The following is a 17,600-nucleotide window of genomic DNA, read 5'->3' as shown; positions in this document are numbered from 1 at the left end:
AGCTCCACAGCAGTTGTAAATGCAAAAAGCTGGCAGCCGCTGGACAGGGGAGCCAGGGAGTGAAACTCCCCGAAAGTCCTACTCTTAAAGATTGTTATTGTCTAACCTGTCTGGAAGTTCCCAGAAACTCCTCGTAATCATCTGTGACAAAGAACATAGACTTTACACCCTTTATCCAGGGAAATTATTCAATAAACAGCAGAAACAACAAAGCCTGGGGAGATGTGATTTCCAGAGTAACCACATTATGTTATGTCATATGTCCAGTTTTCAACAGCAAAAACAAGGAGACATAAAAAGATACGTGACATATAGCCCATACATGGGGGGAAAAAGACAGACAGAAACTGTCCCTAAGGAGGCCCACATGTTGAACTGACTATGTAAAGATGTCAAGTCAGCTATTACAAATAACGTATGGTCAGTCCTCCTATCCACATTCCTGCACTGCAATTTTCAATCCACGATCGGTTGAATCCACAGATAGGGAGAGTCAACAGACTTTGAGCATCTACAGATTTTGGTATCCCCAGGGGTCCTGGAACCAATCCCCCGCAGATATCAAAGGACAACTGTACGTTCAAAGAATTAAAGAAAGCCCAATCTAAAGAAATAAAGGAAAGTACGAGACCCATGTCTCACCAAATACAGAACATGAATAAAGAGACAGAAATTAAGAAATTGTCAAAATATATATCTATAAATTTTGGAGCTGAAAAGTACAGTAACCAAAATGAAAAATTCACCAGTGGCTCAACAGCAGATTTGAAGGTAGGTCCACTAAGATTATCCAGGTTGAAGAAGGGAACCTGTCTTAGTCAGTTCCAGCTGCTACAACAGAATGCCACAGACAGGGTGGCTTCAGCGATAACTCTGTATTTCTCACAGTTCTCAAGGCTCAAAGTCTGAGATCAGAGTGGCAGCATAGTCTTTTCTTAGCTTTGGTCCCAAGCTTGCAGATAGCTGCTTCCTTGCCATATCCTCACATGACAGAGAGAGCTCTGGTCCCTTCACCTCCTTATAAAAGCACCAATCCCTTCACCGGCTCCACCTCGAGATTCATTCAAACCCAATTACCTCCCAAAGACCCCGCCTCCAAATGCCACCACATTAGGGATTGGGGTTTCAACATATGAATTCGGGGGTTGGGTCACAAACATTCAGTCCATAACAGAAAGGGAAAAAATGATTTTTTAAAATGATTTATTGGCCAGTGGCTCATACCTTTAATCCCAGCACTTTAGGAGACCAAGGAGAGAGGATTGCTTGACTCCAAGAGTTTGAGACTAGCCTAGACAACAAAACAAGACCTCATCTCTACAAAAAATAAGAAATTAGCTGAGCATGGTGGTGTGCAACTGTGGTCCCAGCTACTCAGGAGGCTGAGGTGGGAGGATCACTTGATCCCAAGAGTTTGAGGCTGCAGTGAACCATGATTGCACCACTGCACTCCAGCCTGGGCAACAGAGCAAGACCCTGTCTCTAAATAAATAAATAAACAAACAAAGCCTCAGAGACCTGTGGGACACCATCAAGTGTCCCAAGACATTCACAATGGAAGTCCAAAAGGGTGTTTTCTGCCACAAGACCTTTGCACTAACCGCTCTGCCAGAGTCATTCTACCCTTATATATCAACAGGGCTCACTCTCTTTCCTCTCCCAGGTCTCTCTCTATTCAAATATCACCTCCTTACTGAGGCCTTCCCTGATCTCCCCATGTAAAAAGCAACTCCCTACCTCCTCTCACCACAAGCACCTCCAATCCTGCTGCACTGCTTTATTTTCCTGTGTAGCTGCCTTTCATCTGATAGTCCGTGTGTCCATTTGCTTCTTTGGTTGTGGTCTTCTCCCACTCCTAGGGGTAGGTTCTAGGAAGGATAAGAGGTCACTATGAGTCACTGTCACACCCTAGCTACCAGCACAGTCTTGGCACCCTACAGATGCTCAACAAATACTTTTTTAATGAATGAATTCAATCACCCATAAAAATGTCTAAATGCGACCAGGCAGGGTGGCTCATGCCTGTAATCCCAGCACTTGGGGAGGCTGCGTCAGGCAGATCACTTGAGCCCAAAAGTTCAAGACCAGCCTGGGCAATATGGGGAAACCCTGTCTCTATAAAAAATACAAAAATAAGCTGGGTGTGGTGGTGTGTGCCTGTAGTCCCAGCTACTCGGGAGGCTGAGGTGGGAGGACTGCTTGAAGCCGGAGGTCAAGGCTGTAGTGAGTTATGATTGTGCCACTGCACTCCAGCCTGGGTGACAGAACAAGACCTTATCTCACAAAAAAAAAAAAAAAAAAAAAAGTTGAAATGCTTTCATCCAGTAAATTCACTCCTGGAGGATTATTAAGCAAATAATTCAAGAGAAGAGAAAAGTTATATGAATGCAAATGTTCATAAACATAGTTGTGTTTGTCAAACTTCATTTTACCAAGGGCATAGGGAAGGCTCATCAGGAAAAATCAGCACAGGGAGTCGGGTTTTCAGGAAACGTTCCTGAGATGAGAGAGTTTGGAACAGAATCTTAGAGGAAGTGGCAAATTTGGTTTAGCAGAAGAAAGACACAAGCCAAAGTCCCAGGAAGAAGAATAGGTCCTCACAAATGAAACCTGAAGGGCACCAGTCACCTGAATCCGCGGGACCCTCAGGAGGAGTACAGTTAGGGGCCCAGAGCAAAGCTGGTGATGAAGTGAGAGGCGCGGTCAAGAAACCCACCTGAAATTCGGTATAAACACAACTGAGCTCTTCTCAGTAAACACTGGAGAACTTCAAAATACTGGAAAAGTAATGTTGGCATCTTACAGAAACTGTTTTAAAATACCTGCAAATGTGCAAAATATCTGAGATTTGCTCTTCCAGATCAGGAAAGTTATTCTTCAGCTCCTGGCAGATCCTGTCAAACAGACGCCCACGGAGTCTCTAACACAGAACCAGCTCAGATCAGCAAGGGCAGGACCCCTCTGTCTGGCGAACACTTCCATGCCTATTAAGGATCCTGTATCAGATCATTCGGGAGCTGTCAGTGTGTTTGCAACTCTGTCAGAAAAGATTTGAGAGTAATTTCAACAGGAAGAATGAGAAGTAATTCTTCTACATGTGAAAAGTCCTCAGACAGGAAAACTCTCCAGGCAAAAATATTTGAGAACATGACAATAATGACAATGACAATGACAACAGTCTTGAGGCATAAATGGATCAAAGGACATTTATGGGGTTTCTCTTTTAAGCGATGGGCAAGTTATTTAGGCACACGTAATCTGAGTGACAGTCATGGGAAATTGTAAGTACTAACTTGCTTGTTTGGCAAACCTTTATGGAGACCTGTATCACATCAGGCACAGCTTTGGTCCCAAGGCTGTGTGGTCCTGGTGTCTCACCACACCCTCGAGGCCCTGCTGGGAGGCACGAGGTGTGAGAGTCGGTTCTAAAATATCTTCTTCTCCTTCCCAGACCTCAAAAGCACTCCTTTTCCCCCTCTCCCACCACTAAACTTGTGGCAAAGTCTCTTCAACAAGCTCAGACTCACACAAGGCTGGACGAAGGGTGGTCTTCAACCAGTTTCTTGAAGCAAGGACATGTGAAGAGTACAGCTATCTGCTCAGAATGGGCATGGGGAGGAGATAGAAAAAAGAGAACAAAACACTAATAAACTAGCCTGTCTCATTAGTATCACGGGAAACTACAAGCCATTAGCAGTGTCTGAACAGCAGAAAAGAAAATGATCGAAAAGAATGCTGTCATCGGCTGAGCGCGGTGGCTCACACCTGTAATCCTAGCACTTTGGGAAGCCAAGGTGGGTGGATTGCCTGAGCTCAGGAGTTCAAGACCAGCCTGGGCAACACGGTGAAACCCCGTCTCTACTAAAATACAAAAAATTAGCTGGGAGTGGCAGCGTACACCTGTAATCCCAGCTACTCAGGAGGCTGAGGCAGGAGAATCACTTGAACCTGTGAGGTGGGGGTTGCAGTGAACCAAGGTCATACCACTGCCCTCCAGCCTGGGTGACACCACTGCCCTCCAGCCTGGGTGACAGAGCAAGACTCTGTCTCAAAAAAAAAAAAAAATGCTGTCATCAAATTATGCTTCTGGCCGTGATGGAGAACCAGAGGAATCCTTCTGCTGCAAAAACAAAAAATTTAAAAAAATTACTAGACGAAATACATGAAAAGCTTGTTTTCATACAATTGGATGTGAGCAGGAGCTTCAGAGTGTAAGCTAAAAATAAAATCCTAAGTCCTCCCCACAAATTAAACGAGCCCTCTCTTGGCCAAAGGGACCCCTGAAAAACCTTAAAAATTGAGTTCCCAGCCATGACAGGATGGGCAGGCAGACATGCCTCGTTAATGCCTCCCATTTTGCGGTTTAGACACAGCTGATGAGCATTAATGCTAAAATAGAGATCATAGGACAACAGATTCTGTGACAATAAGATATCACACTATAAATAAGACATCAAACTATAAATAAGACCTATGGCCACGCCAGGTGTCAGGCTCACAACTATGCCAAATGTCACACTTGGGGTCAGGTTCCAGCCCATGCTGAGGTCCAAAGGGAGTGGGTAGATGAGCAGAAAGAACAGTCATGGGGTGGTAGGCAGGTGAATATGGTTTTATTCAACAGCAGCTTTCATCAACAGCTTTCTCACACTGTCCGCCCTGTCTCGGCTGCTTAGTCTGGTAGCTCCCACACACACAGCTGCGCAGCCAGCTCTCCCTTGCCTTCAAGGTTGGCAGCTTAACTCTGTCTCTCTCTGGGCGCCAGTGAGCCAAGCTGTGTCCTGGTTCCCCTCTGTCCATCTGCAAAGATGGACAGCTCTGGCTCTCTCTCTTTCTCTGGGTGCCAGCACCTGTACAGTGTCGGCAGGGCAATTATACCTTTTACAGACAATAGTGGCTTAATGCCAAGGGACGGCCTTCCCATGTTATGGCTCCGTGGATGCGATAACAAGTGGAGTTATACGCCTGCGCTCTAAACTCCCTGAGTCACGCAGGATGTAAACATCCCACCTTGGCCTATCCTTGACCAAAGCACAACCATGTTCCTTACACCAAGCAAGGGTTGAATCACTCACCTCTATGCTTAAAGAATAAATTCTGTTCTAACAGCCACAGAATTTTTCTTTTTCTCTACCGTCTAAATAAGCACTGGTCTCAGGATAAGCAATATTAAAACAATTTGCAGCTCACGCAGATAAGGCACAGACTAACTGCCCAGCCATAACTACACCTTTGATTGTACAAGACACTGATGTCAGTAACTTTCTCTAGATGAGACACCACCAATCCAATCATGAACTAGTCCTAGCCAGTTTACAGAGGGTGCACACTTGAGTGCTTTTGTGTCCCAAAAGGAACTTTTGACCTATAGGGGCTAATTGTAATACATTCAAATGTTATTTTCCACCCCAAATGAACATGGGTTGTATGTTACATGCATGTTTGTTCAATATGCATGTGTCAGGACCCCCTTCATAAATACTCACATCTCCTCTGATAATCTGTTGAATATGTACATTTGGTCAACATGTTCAACTTAAATTTCTGACTTACCCCTTCTTCCCCCAGAGGGCCTGTCTCTGGTCTTTGAAGGAGGCTCTTCCCAGCCTACAGGATGGCCACCCTGCAGCCTATAACCCCTTATAAGAAATAAAGTCTCCTCTGCAGGCGTGGGGGCTCACGCCTGTAATCCTAGCACTTAGGGAGGCCGAGACAGGAGGACTGCTTGAGGCCAAGAGTTCAAGACCAACCTAGCCAACATAGTAAGACCCTGTTGAGGCAGGAGAATGGGGTCTAGAAGCAGGGAACCTAAGGCCAACTCATGTTGACTTCCTAGAACTAAATCAAAAGGAAAACCCCAACTTTCCACAACAAAGTAACAAAAGGACCAGAGATAAACCCTCCATACTTTCCCATTTTCTACAACCAGACAGACTGATTGCAGGCTAAGTCTTTGTTTACATAGAAGTGTAACTTTGTAACTTCACTTTAGCCGCTGATTGGTTGCTTTCCACAACTAATCAGACGTTTGCATAGTGTGTAACCTTTGTAACTTCACTTTGTAGTTACAGTAGATTGCAAGCCACTACTTCATTTGCATGGGTGTACAGCAAGTGGCCAATGGGAAACCTCTAGAGGGCATTTAAACCCCAGAAAATTCTGAAACCAGGCTCTTAGTCCCTATGCTCGGGTCTGATCCCATCTTGTGGAGTGTACTTTCGTTTTCAATAAATCTCTGCTTTTGTTGCTTCGTTCTTTCCTTGCTGTGTTTGTGGGTTTTGCCCAGTTCTTTGTACAAGACGCCAAGAACCTGGACACCCTCCACCAGTAACACTGTCTCTATTTGAAAAAAAAAAAGTGAAACTCTGTGTCTACTAAAATACAAAAATTAGCCAGGCATGGTGGCGGGCGCCCATAATCCTAGCTACTCGGGAGGCTGAGGCACGAGGATCGCTTGAACCCGGGAGGCAGAGGTTGCAGTGGGCCGAGATCGAGCCACACTGCACTCCAGCCTGGGCGACAGAGCAAGACTTTGTCAAAAAAAAAAAAAAAAAGAAAAAAAAAAGGAAGGAAGAAAGGAAAGAAAGAAAGTCTCCTGGTCCAAATTTCTAGATTGTGTGATTTTCAAGTTAACAAGAGACAACCTGGTCTTCAAAGCCTGACTGCCTGCAAGAATATTGGGATGGGGGGAGGACGCTGCAGACACGGACGGTCACATGGCCGCTGATACTGACTCACTCAGGGCAGACAGATATGGCAGGGAAAAGCAAATATTCATCCTGGGAAATGCTGAGCTTCAGGTGCCCAGAGGACAACCAGGTGATACCAAGCAGTGGCTGGGGATGTAAAAGTAAGGCACGAGAAGGAAGAACACCACGCCTGGGTTTGGAGGTGCACTGGAATAAGCCTGTTCTGTAGCATCTTCGCGCCTAAATACTTTCCCTCTCCTCCACGTTCATCTAGTCTCCTTTGCCTAAAAAACCATTTCAAATGGAGCCATTAGGAGCCAGCTCCTGGACTCCCGCAAGCAAAGTAAATAGCTTTGGCACCCAGCATGACTGTGCTAATTGAGGTCGAGTGGAAAGGCTGGGCTGGGAAAAAGTCTGAACTCCTGGGTCAGAATGACCTGGATTCAAATTTCAACCCTGCCACCTACCAGCTGTGCTTCCCCGAGTCATTCACAACCTCCTGAGCCTCAGAATCCTCTTGAGTGAAACAGAGATAAAACTCGTCTCATAGGGTAATGAATTTCACAAACCAGTTCCTAACTGGAGGCACTCGGTGGTGGCAGCTGCGGCGTTTGCACTGTAATTGTTGATGGGCTCCCTTTCTCTCTCTCCCCCTCCTAGACTCAGCCCCACTGAGCAGCCCCGGCTTCCACAGGCCCCCATGAGTCACACTGGTGCCTGGCGCTGCAGAGCTGGAGGAGGCTGTGGGGAAGGGAGCTCAAGCTGGCCACCCCAGCAGGGCTCATGGAAATCCTGGGCATGACTCAGCTGTGACGATCTGAATTCATATTTGTGATTTGTCAGACACACAGGAACGACGACAGCATCAGCCTGCCACCTTCTGCCAGGAAGAAGATAACCAATGCTAGCAACTGTGAGTCACCACAGAGGTTTCGCTGCAGATCCACCTGGGGGGTGCACGGGGGTGAGGGGCTGTCCTAAGGTCCAGTAGACGTTCCCCGGGGGGACAGGAGTGAAAAGCAAGTTGGGAATGGGCTTGGATGTCGTGGAGAGGGGACATGGCCTCTGCAAGGATCTTCCCAGAAGGGTGCCCTCAAGGCACCACGACGTCACGGGCAGTAAGGACGTGCACCCTCGGAGCAAGCCTGTTTTCCTCCGGAGCAACTTCGGAGCTTTAGGGCATTCGCTGGAGGGCCTCATGAGGGACGGCTGCCCTGCAAGTTGCTGGGGACCAAAGGACGCAGGGCGCGAAGCTCAGCAAGCAAAGGTGACCAGCCCTACCGAGAGCCGGTAGCAAATACCCGAAAAGCTACTCTGGGCCCACGCCTGCGCGCTCGGAAGACGCCATGGCAACCGCAGCAGCACCGCCCCCCGAAGCCCGGGGCTGGCGCTTAGGGCGTGGCCAGGGAGCTCCCAGTCAATCGACGCCGCGGACGCACAGTCACGTGGTCGCTGCGGACGCGGACGGGGACGGTCACGTGGCCGACAAGCGGGCTGCGTTCTTTCGCCTTGGGCCCCTCGGAAGCGTCCGCAGCCCCCTGGAACCCTAGCGGTGGGGTCTTCCAGCTGGAGCGGCCTACGCCGGCGGCTCGCGGCCCCCGCCGCCGACAGCCTGCAAGCGTCCCGCTTGGTCCCGCCGCAGCCCCGAGATGGCGCTGCGTTCAGAGGCATGCGTGGGGGCTTCCGAGCCTGCGATTTCCTGGCTTTTGAGCATCTTTGTCTCCACTCTCCACGTCGTCCTCTCAGGAAAACTTGAGGCCCGAGAGAACGTTCCAGCAGGAAATCTGCGGAAATCGGATGGGAGCAGTGCATGCCAGGAACTCGCCAGCTGCTCCCAGATACATGTCTGCTTCCTGCAACTACCCTGCGGGGCGGGCTACCTGGTCCCTGCCTTAGAGATGAGGAAACAGGCTCAGATGGCATTGAAAACCTTCCCCGAGACTGCACAAAGCCAGGCTTTTCCCACCAGGACACCCTACTCGCTGCTTCTGAGTGACCATCCTCGTGCCACACTTCAGGTGTGAGGGGAAGGGCTCAGCTAAGCTCAGTGCACTGGGCCCTGTCCCGGAGGAGCCAGCTGCCGAACCCAACCTCGTGTCTTCAGGACAAGACAGCGTGTCACCAGTGCCAGCCAGAGTCCCCGGCCTTGGCACTGCGCTGGGCTCAGAGGAAGGAGGAGACCTACCAGGGACTTCAGCTGTAATGAGGCTACTCTGGCTGCGATGGGGCCACTTAAGCACAGAGCCGGCCAGGCGTGAAAAATGGTCTCCCTCACATACACTTAACCGAGCCAGCTAAGGAGATACCAAAACTGTCCCAACTTTTTTCATGTCAAATGAATGAGGTTTGTTTCAGTCCCAACAGCAAAATAGAAATGCTGTCTTAGTAGAATCAAACTAATAGCCACTAATGGTAAATCCAGCCCTTTCTACCATTTAAACTCTCCCTGGAAATGCCTGAAATTCCATTTTAGCAGTTCTCGGATTCGGAATCATCTTCTTTGTATTCATTGATAGATGAAATGCACATAACCTCTAAATTTCCAGTGGGAGAGGAGGTCAGACAAAGCACTGGGCCCTAGGGAGAGGGAAGTGGAGATGCAAAAAAGGGAAGAAGGGCCCCCCTCCTTTTGGAGAGACTCTAAGAGGGGCCACTGGATCCACTCGGTGCATGTCACTGAGGAAGCTCTAAACCCTGGTTTGTCCAGTTCAGCACTCCCCAAGCCTTAGAAGGTTGTTTGTCAGCCCCTTGTGGGGTTCTGTTCCAAAGACTGCATGAACCCACTGAATGCCTAGAGCCACATGTGGCCATATTCACAGGGATATGAGCAAGGAACTCCAACATGTTCTTCTGGCCACGCTTCCCTCTGAGCAGCCGTGTCATCAAGAGAGTAAGAGTTCAAAACTAGGCTCTACTCTCCCAGGATTCACCAGAACCACTTCTGTTTCCCTTTCCAGGAAGCAAAGCAAAACCACACTCAGAAAATAACGAGAAAGAGCCATAAGTCAAAGGAAAACAAGTCAATAAATCCACTATCTATGGCTCCAAGGAGTAGAGGAAGCACCCAAAGTGATATTATTGTGAAACATTATTATTAATATGGGAAAGCCGCTTCTATGTGGACCTGCTCCTGACTCGTATCTCTTCATCTACACAGACTCTTGCTGATTTCAAAGGAAAGCCCCAGGGTGGGAGCGTGGATACTGCAGGAGGGTGCTGGTCTTAATCATCTGAGAATGAGATCTTACCTTCCTGCCTTACCCTTCTAGAAAAAAGGGCAGATTCAGAAATCAAGAGCCCCTCCGTTAAGTTTTGAGAAATGTTATCATGAAAATGAAGCATATCGGCCAAAGGAAATTAAATCCATCTTGGCTCCCCACTACCAGTACTGCCAAATGCTTGTTCAGGGAGTAACAGTACATAGATATCTGATTAGAATCAATCTGATGTGATCCAGGGAAGGCGGAGTAAATCACTCCCTACAGTAAGTGACCTTGTTGATCCCCTACTAAAGACGTGGAAGAAAGAGCCGGCAGGCGTCTGAGGAATTGTGGCCATCATTTCCAGCTACATGGAGGGCCTATACACCAGAACTCCCGGAGGGCCTTTTACATTTTGGTGTGGGCCATTGTTCCCTTTCCCTCTTGCCCTCAGCCCCAGGGGTATGACACATTGTAGGGCTCACTGTCCATGAGTCTGAACATCAGCACCAACAGCGGGAGCAGCAGGGGAGAGAGGGCCTTCATGCAAGGAGAGCACGCCACCACCTCATGCCCCAGCTTCTACACCTGTTACCCACTGTTCCATCTTTAGGAGGCTGACTCCACCTGGTATTTCTACCAGATCTAAATGATCACATCAGGGATCCAGGCACAAGTTGTCAGGACACAGGAAGTAACCACACAATATTTGTGCAGCCCTTTGCAGTCTACAAAGCACTTTGATATGATTTTCTGTAAGAATATCATTATATTCCCTAGGTTAAAGATTAGGGCCCTTGAGGCACAGTGTTATTGGCTGAAATATGTTCTCCAAAAATTCGTATGTTTAAGTCCTAACCCCCAGTACCTGATAATGTGACTATATTTGCATAAAGCGTCTTTAAAAAGATAAATGAAGCTGGCTGTGGTGGTGCGCACCTGTAGGCCCAGCTACTCAGGAGGCTGAGGCAGGAGGATCACTTGAGCCCAGTAGTTCAAGGCTGCAATGAGCTGTGATCATGGCGCTGCACTCCAGCCTGGGTGACAGGGCAAGACTCTGACTCTTAACAAATAAGAGTGAAATAAATGAGGTTAAATTAGGTCATAAAGGTGGGTCCTAATCCAATATGACTAGTGTCGTAAGAAGAGATTAGGACACAGACACACGCAGGGAAGACCATGTGAGGAGCCAGGGAAAAAATAGCCATCTACAAACGAAGGAGATAGTCCTTGGGAAAAACCAACCCTGCTGACACCTTGATCTCAGACTTCTAGCCTCCAGAACTGTGAGAAAATTAATTTCTGTTGTTTCCCAGGCTGTTGTATGTTACAGCAGCCCTAGGAAACTTAATACACACAGGGTCGTCAAACGAAAGCTGCAGGATTATGCCCCAATTAACTGATTGCAGGAACAGTGCTCTTTTCCCTCCAGGCAGCATGTACCTTGGCATGAACTAGAAAAGGCTCCCATTGCTAGAGATAAATTCTACTATTTGTTAGGAAACTGACCTAGGATGACCCCTATGAGAATGGTGCCCCTAGAGTTGCTCAGTGCCTGGCACGCACTACTGTACCTGGTGACCTAGAGTGGAAAGCACATTTGGACACCCTCCACGGCAGCGTAACACAGGCCATTGATGAGGCTGAGGCTCCCCAAGCACTAGACAGCAGTAAGCTCTGTGAACATGGGCTGAGATGAGCCAGTGAAGCCTCATAATGTCCAAGCAGCACCTGCACCAGGAAGGCTCAAAGCGGCTTTTGACATCTTCAGTGGTACTCGTAAGGTATCATCACAGAGGGGCTGTGTGGCCTGCAGGCAACCCTTGCTGTCTTCTCACTGTTTTAATAGTGTAAGAACTTTGAAATCTACATGTAATGTAATGCATTAGGTCTCCTTTTTGCCTAAATAATGTGAGATTTGGATTTAATGTTGATTTTGGTCAACTGGTTCAAATATTACATATCATATTGTAATTAGATTGCCTAAAAGTATTTGTTCTCAAAAGAATGATTTTTAAAACAAGAGCAACAAGCCAAGGGGGTGACAGGGAGTGGTTACAGTTTGGCCATCATCCTAACATCAGCCTTTTGGTTACACAAAAATCTGTCCCAAAGACCTTATATTTTTTGAAGTGGTTAAAAAAATAAAGGACTTTCAGGAAATGCAACTGTTTCTGGATGCATCCTTTGAAGAAAAAATACTATTCTTCATTTTAAAAGCTATTTTTCTAATACTAAGCAAAGAAAAAAGATAAGGTCATATAAAATGAAAATAATGGGAGGGGTGGAGATAACAAGAGAGAAAAGTTGTCTTAAAGCCTCATGACAAAGTTGTATACGGTATGTGGGTAGACAGTGAAAAGCAAGCGGGATGGAGTTGAAAATAATGTTTTATTCAGCTAGCACCAGTCTCTCTCTGAGAAAACAGATTTTTGTTTGAGAAAAAGACTATAATGCCAGGCCGGGCACAGTGGCTCACACCTGTAATCCCAGCACTTTGGGAGGCCAAGGCAGGCAGATCACTTAAGGTCAGGAGTTTGAGACCAGCCTGGCCAACATAGTGAAATCCCATCTCCACTAAAAAAAATACAAAAATTAGATGGGCATAGTGGTGCATCCCTGTAATCCCAGCTACTGGTGAGGCTGAGGCAGGAGAATCGCTTGAACCCGGGAGGTGGAGGCTGCAGTGAGCCAAGATTGCGCCACAGCACTCCAGCCTGGGCAACAGAGTGGGAGACTCCATCTTGGGGAAAAAAAAAAAAAAAAAAAGACTGTTCTGCTGTAGGGTGGATTGATAATTTCCACAGTTGCCCACTGTAACATTTCTGGTCTCACATGTTCTAGAATGTTACCATTACCCCTGCTTTAAGAGATAGTGTCTGTTTCCCCATCCCTTTGAACGTACCAGGGCCTCTGTGAATAGAATTGGAAGAAGAGTATAGCCAGAGTGACATTGTGTGACTGCCAAGGCTGGGTCAAAAAGGTGAGAGGACTCTACTCAGTATTCTCGTGTTTGTGTTCTCTCTCTCTGTCTCTATCTCTCAATGGTTGAAACCCACCCAACCACTATGCTGTGAGGTGCCCAGAGGACAAAGTTGGAGGACTCCAGAGGGAGGGTTCCAGGAGAAGGACAGGAACATGATAAGAGCAAACTGCAGGACAGAGATAAAGACAGCCAGAAAATTGAAGAAGCGTCTCCACTGTAGGAGAAAATCCCCTCCAAGAAAGGACATGAAATGATAGTACATGAGCTGGCTCTGCTGGGAAGGATGGTTGCAGGGTCTTAATAACATTGTGAGAAGATGGGAGAGGAAGTGAGGTAAAGATACAAGAGTGAAATCCTTCTCGTAATAGGAAATCGGCAGGTGATGCGTGAAGGATGGGTTTATCAGGAAATAATGGCATTCGCTCACACGGAGGTGGTTGGCCGAATAATTGGTCCCAAACCTAATCCCTGGAACCCATGACTTTTACCTTCTGTGATAAAAGGGACTTTGCAGATGTGATTAAGTTAAGGACTTTGAGATGAGGAGATGGTCCTGGATTATCTGGGTGGGCCTAATATACTCACAGGGTCCTTAAAAGATTGAAGAGGAAGGCGTCATCTTCCGGGAGGTAAGGAACGGATGGAGGCACCACTTCTCACCATACCGTGCCCTTCAGTTCTACACAGTTCTTCAACTACATGCATCTCTTACTTTGATAAAATGTTTAAAAAATGCATCAGGGGATCTTTCACATACTGTGACCCTAAAGAGAGGAATGTGTGAAAAAACTGATCATGGTACCTATGGAGATGGAGCCTGAATAATTAAACAACAGGGATTTGTGAGCACCTAATGTGTACTCTACTGTGTACTAGGTATTATGCATGGGGTACACTGTGGGTAGTATCTGGTAGAATCTTTGGTTTTTTGGTTTTTTGAGATGGAGTCTTGCTGTGTCACCAGCCTGGAGTGCAGTGGCACGATCTCAGCTCACTGCAACCTCTGCTTCCCGGGTTCAAGCGACCCTCCTGTCTCAGCCTCCCAAGTAGCTGGGACGACAGGGCATGCACCACCACACCCAGCTAATTTTTTGTATTTTTAGTAGAGACAGGGTTTCACCATGTTGGCCAGGATGGTCTCGATCTCTTGATCTCGTGATCCGCCTGCCTCGGCCTCCTGAGTTGCTGGGATTACAGGCATGAGCCACCACGCCTGACCAGTATCTGGTAGTATCTTACTATCTTACCAGATTCTACCTAATCTAAGAGCCCTGGACCTTGGACTCTGGGGTCTGTTGATCCCATGAACAGTCATACCTCCCACTTGGTGAGACCCAGAGCTTCAGTAGCAGAGCCCTGGACTGCAATAGGCCTGGAGCCCATAGGAACTGGGAATCAGGAAACATCAGGATGGGTTGGTGTCATCAGAAGAAACTGTTTCTTGGAGGGCTGGGCCTGAGCTGGCCTTGAAGACTTGGAGGCCCTTGGATGAGTGGAAGTCAGGGAGGGTAGAGCCTCATGAGAACCGTGGTGTCTGGACACTGTGGAGACCGGCTGGGGACTCCCCAAGGATGGGATCTGCTCGGCACAGGGAGGAAGCCACAAACCGAAACTTGCTGTGCTTAGCTGAGGTTGCTGGGCACTCAGGCGTTGCTCAGACTCATTCAGAGCCAGAATTTAGACTTCATGCTCTGTGAGCAGGTCTCAGGGAGAGGGTTGAGAAGGAGCTCCCAGTCACTTCAAATCTTCCTCTGAGATAGCTTGTCTATCATCGATTCAATCAACAAAGGCTCTTTGAGCTCCTCCCATGTGTGAGCAGAACATCCCGGAAGCCTCCCCTAGGGTTCATGTTCCAGGAAGGGGACTGGGAATAAATCCAGGCGTTTATGCCAGAGGGGATGGTGGGTGCTTTGAGGAAAAGTAAAGCAGGTGAGGGAAGAGAGTGCCCTGCTTTGATGGGTGGTATGGTTTGGCTGTGTCCCCACCCAAATCTCTTTTTTTCTTTCTTTCTTCTTTTTTTTCTTTTCTTTTCTTTTCTTTTTTTTTTTTTTTTTTTTTTTTTTTTTTTTTTTTGAGAGGGAGTCTTGCTCTGTCTCCCAGGCTGGAGTGCAGTGGCGTGATCTCGGCTCACTGCAACCTCCACCTACTGGGTTGAAGTGATCTCCTGCTTCAGCCTCCCGAGTAGCTGGGACTACAGGCGCCTGCCACCATGCCAGACTAATTTTTATATTTTATGCCAGACTAATTTATATACTAATGGGATTTAGTACAGATGGGGTTTCACCATGTTGGCCAGGCTGGTCTCAAACTTCTGACCTCAAGTGATCTGCCCTCCTCAGCCTCCCAAAGTGCTGGGATTACACGAGTGAGCCACCGTGCCTGTCCCCACATCTCACCTTGAATTGTAGTCCCTATAATCCCCATGTGTCATGGGAGGGACCAGGTGGAGATAATTGAATCATGGGGGGCAGTTTCCCCCATCCTGTTCTCGCGATAGTGCGTTTCTCATGAGATCTGATGGTTTTATAAGGAGCTTCTCCCCCTTTTGCTCTGTGCTTCTCCTTGCTGCTGCCATGTGAAGAAGGATGCATATGCTTCTCCTTCCACCATGATTGCAAGTTTCCTGAGGCCTCCTCAGCCCTGTGGAACTGTGAGTCAATCAAATCTCTTTCCATTGTAAATTACCCAGTCTCAGGTATGTCCTTATAGCAGTGTGAGAATGAACTAATACAATGGGAGAATCAACAAACAACCAAGAGAACAACATTTGAACAAGAGGGAGTGGCTGCCGGGTGTGCCTTTCCTCTTCTTACCTGTGGTGCCATTGTTGGTCCATCTCCACAGAACCATCTGAGGCTCCGCAGTTTATCCATCCCCAACTGTAATAACACTAATAACAGCCCCTCTACCACGAGCAACCACGGCAGATGTTTGCTCCCATTTGTAAAAGTTCTGGCTCAGCTGCCTCGCTCTGCTTGCTACAGGCATTTATCAGCTGTTCACTAAGCTGGATGGGGCAGTCTGCAAAGATAGATGTGGACACGTGGTGACCTCCTTACAGATCAGCTGCCGAGACACACATATCAGAGTTCTGAGAACACGCACGTTCAAGAGCGTGCGGAACGCACTGTACTCCGCAAATCCTTCCTGGGGCCTCACCTCGCTATATAAGGCTCTTCAGCTTCACACACATATAGACACACAGAGTCATCAGCACGGGTTTGGTATTGCTATCTTTGGAAACAACCCACATCTTTGAGTCCCATCCAGAGCCATGTCCACCTGTGGTTATCTTTTGGCAGCATGTTAGCCTTTTAAAGGCACCCACATTGTTCACGCCACTCAAGCTGAAGGAATTCAGGCATGTCGCCTTGGAGCTGGGAAAATGATACTCCCCATTTAGGGACTGTGGAGATAAGAGGGAGTTCAGAGTTCAGCTCAACTTGCTGAGATTTTGCAGCAGTGGCTCTTAAACTTTGGTGTGCTGAAAAATTAAGTAGTTGTGTGCTGAAAATGAAGATCTGGAGGTCCAGCCACTCAGATATTTAGACTCATGCAGTCAGTCTGAAGAGGAAGCTGGAATTCTGCAATTGACAGGCCCCTGGGGGCTTCAGGTGCTGACGGGCCACAAAGCACACTTTGAGAAACTGTTTGACTGTTGTACAGCCACAAACCAGTGTTGAAGGCAAGTTTTTGGAGATGCCACCTCCTTGGTAGCAAGTAATCAGCTGTGAAGAACACAGAACAGCTTCCTCTTAAAACAAAAGTGCAAGACCCTCCAAAGGTTAAGCAGGGAAGAGGGCTAGGAGATGCTGCGGAATGGGAGCAGGGGCTCCAGTCATCTTCAGGGCTCTCAGCATTTAACCTCCAAGCTTCACCTTCCCCTTGGAGTTCTGCTTGTTGTTGCTGTTGTTGTTGTTTTTAACTCTGATTTCTACCATGCCCATCAAAATTCCAATCGCCTTATCCCGAGTATAACTAAAATTAGCTGACATTTGCAAAAAAAAGTAATAAAGCAAAAGATGGAGAAAACTAAGGGGAATCATGATTGAAACTATAAATAGCAACAATATCCAAGTCTCCAAAATGTAGGTTTCTACTGCTAAGATGCCCGCTCACCAGCAGTGAGTGGGTGTCCCTCCGTTCACCTCCACCTCCAGGGTCCTTGACTCCTAGACTTCTGCTGGCATACTTCCCCCTGCACCTACCGGCCCAACACAACCGTTGCCTTCTCTGAGAACCAAAGCAGAAAACAGAAAATACGGTTTCCTATCCCACGCGGCTAGGATGACTCCACCAGCTCTGGTCCTGAGGCGCTCCCATCTCTCTGGCTCCAAGCTCTGCCTCTGGCCTCTGAGGCATTCACACACATCCCTTTCAGTACACACTTCGTGTGGCACTTCATGGGCACGCAGGATACACAAGCCATAATAACCCATGCACAGAACAGCTTGTGTGAGTGTAGCCTGCGGAGCGTCTGTGGCATACTGTGAGATGTACTATACCAAATGTGGCAAACACTTGTGACCAGCCCCTTGGGTGTATGTCCAGTTAGAAATGTAAAGCAATTCTGGGCAACATAGCAAGAGCCCATCTCTATAACAAACAAAATAAAAAGTTAGCTGGGGCCGGGCGTGGTGTCTCATGCCTGTAATCCCAGCACTTTGGGAGGCTGAGGCAGGCGGATCATGAGATCGGGAGATCAAGACCATCCTGGCTAACACG

The 17,600-nt window shown here is 47.7% G+C and overlaps 2 long non-coding RNA genes across 3 annotated transcripts in view, besides 4 other annotated features; both read right to left on the bottom strand.

Moving 5' to 3' along the window:
- KCNJ6-AS1 (KCNJ6 antisense RNA 1) overlaps positions 1 to 17,600 on the bottom strand; it is a 222,067-nt gene that overhangs the window by 168,665 nt on the left and 35,802 nt on the right. The window lies entirely within an intron of this gene.
- Positions 1,516 to 12,019, bottom strand: LOC105372798 (uncharacterized). Of its 2 annotated transcripts, XR_937706.3 has the most exons (3): positions 7,157 to 7,990; positions 2,823 to 3,037; positions 1,516 to 1,868 (listed from the first exon to the last, which is right to left on the bottom strand). It is a non-coding gene; the product is annotated as an uncharacterized LOC105372798 (long non-coding RNA). The 2 variants fall into 2 exon arrangements; XR_005647073.2 differs by lacking the exon at positions 2,823 to 3,037 and having other exon boundaries at positions 7,157 to 12,019.
- Positions 7,897 to 8,191: an enhancer, noted in NCBI's record as "tiled region #302; HepG2 Activating non-DNase unmatched - State 10:DNaseD, and K562 Activating DNase unmatched - State 1:Tss". NCBI's record gives its function as "activates a minimal TATA promoter and a strong SV40 promoter by Sharpr-MPRA in HepG2 and K562 cells {active_cell/tissue: HepG2 | K562}" and the evidence as "EXISTENCE:reporter gene assay evidence [ECO:0000049][PMID:27701403]".
- Positions 8,231 to 8,330: a silencer, noted in NCBI's record as "silent region_13308". NCBI's record gives its function as "represses an Ori minimal core promoter by ATAC-STARR-seq in GM12878 lymphoblastoid cells {active_cell/tissue: GM12878}" and the evidence as "EXISTENCE:reporter gene assay evidence [ECO:0000049][PMID:35858748]".
- Positions 14,319 to 14,498: an enhancer, noted in NCBI's record as "active region_18455". NCBI's record gives its function as "activates an Ori minimal core promoter by ATAC-STARR-seq in GM12878 lymphoblastoid cells {active_cell/tissue: GM12878}" and the evidence as "EXISTENCE:reporter gene assay evidence [ECO:0000049][PMID:35858748]".
- Positions 14,709 to 14,768: an enhancer, noted in NCBI's record as "active region_18454". NCBI's record gives its function as "activates an Ori minimal core promoter by ATAC-STARR-seq in GM12878 lymphoblastoid cells {active_cell/tissue: GM12878}" and the evidence as "EXISTENCE:reporter gene assay evidence [ECO:0000049][PMID:35858748]".

Source organism: Homo sapiens, chromosome 21 (genome assembly GCF_000001405.40).
Source record: "Homo sapiens chromosome 21, GRCh38.p14 Primary Assembly".
Lineage (NCBI taxonomy): Eukaryota > Metazoa > Chordata > Mammalia > Primates > Hominidae > Homo > Homo sapiens.
This window is presented reverse-complemented; position numbering and strand designations above follow the sequence as displayed.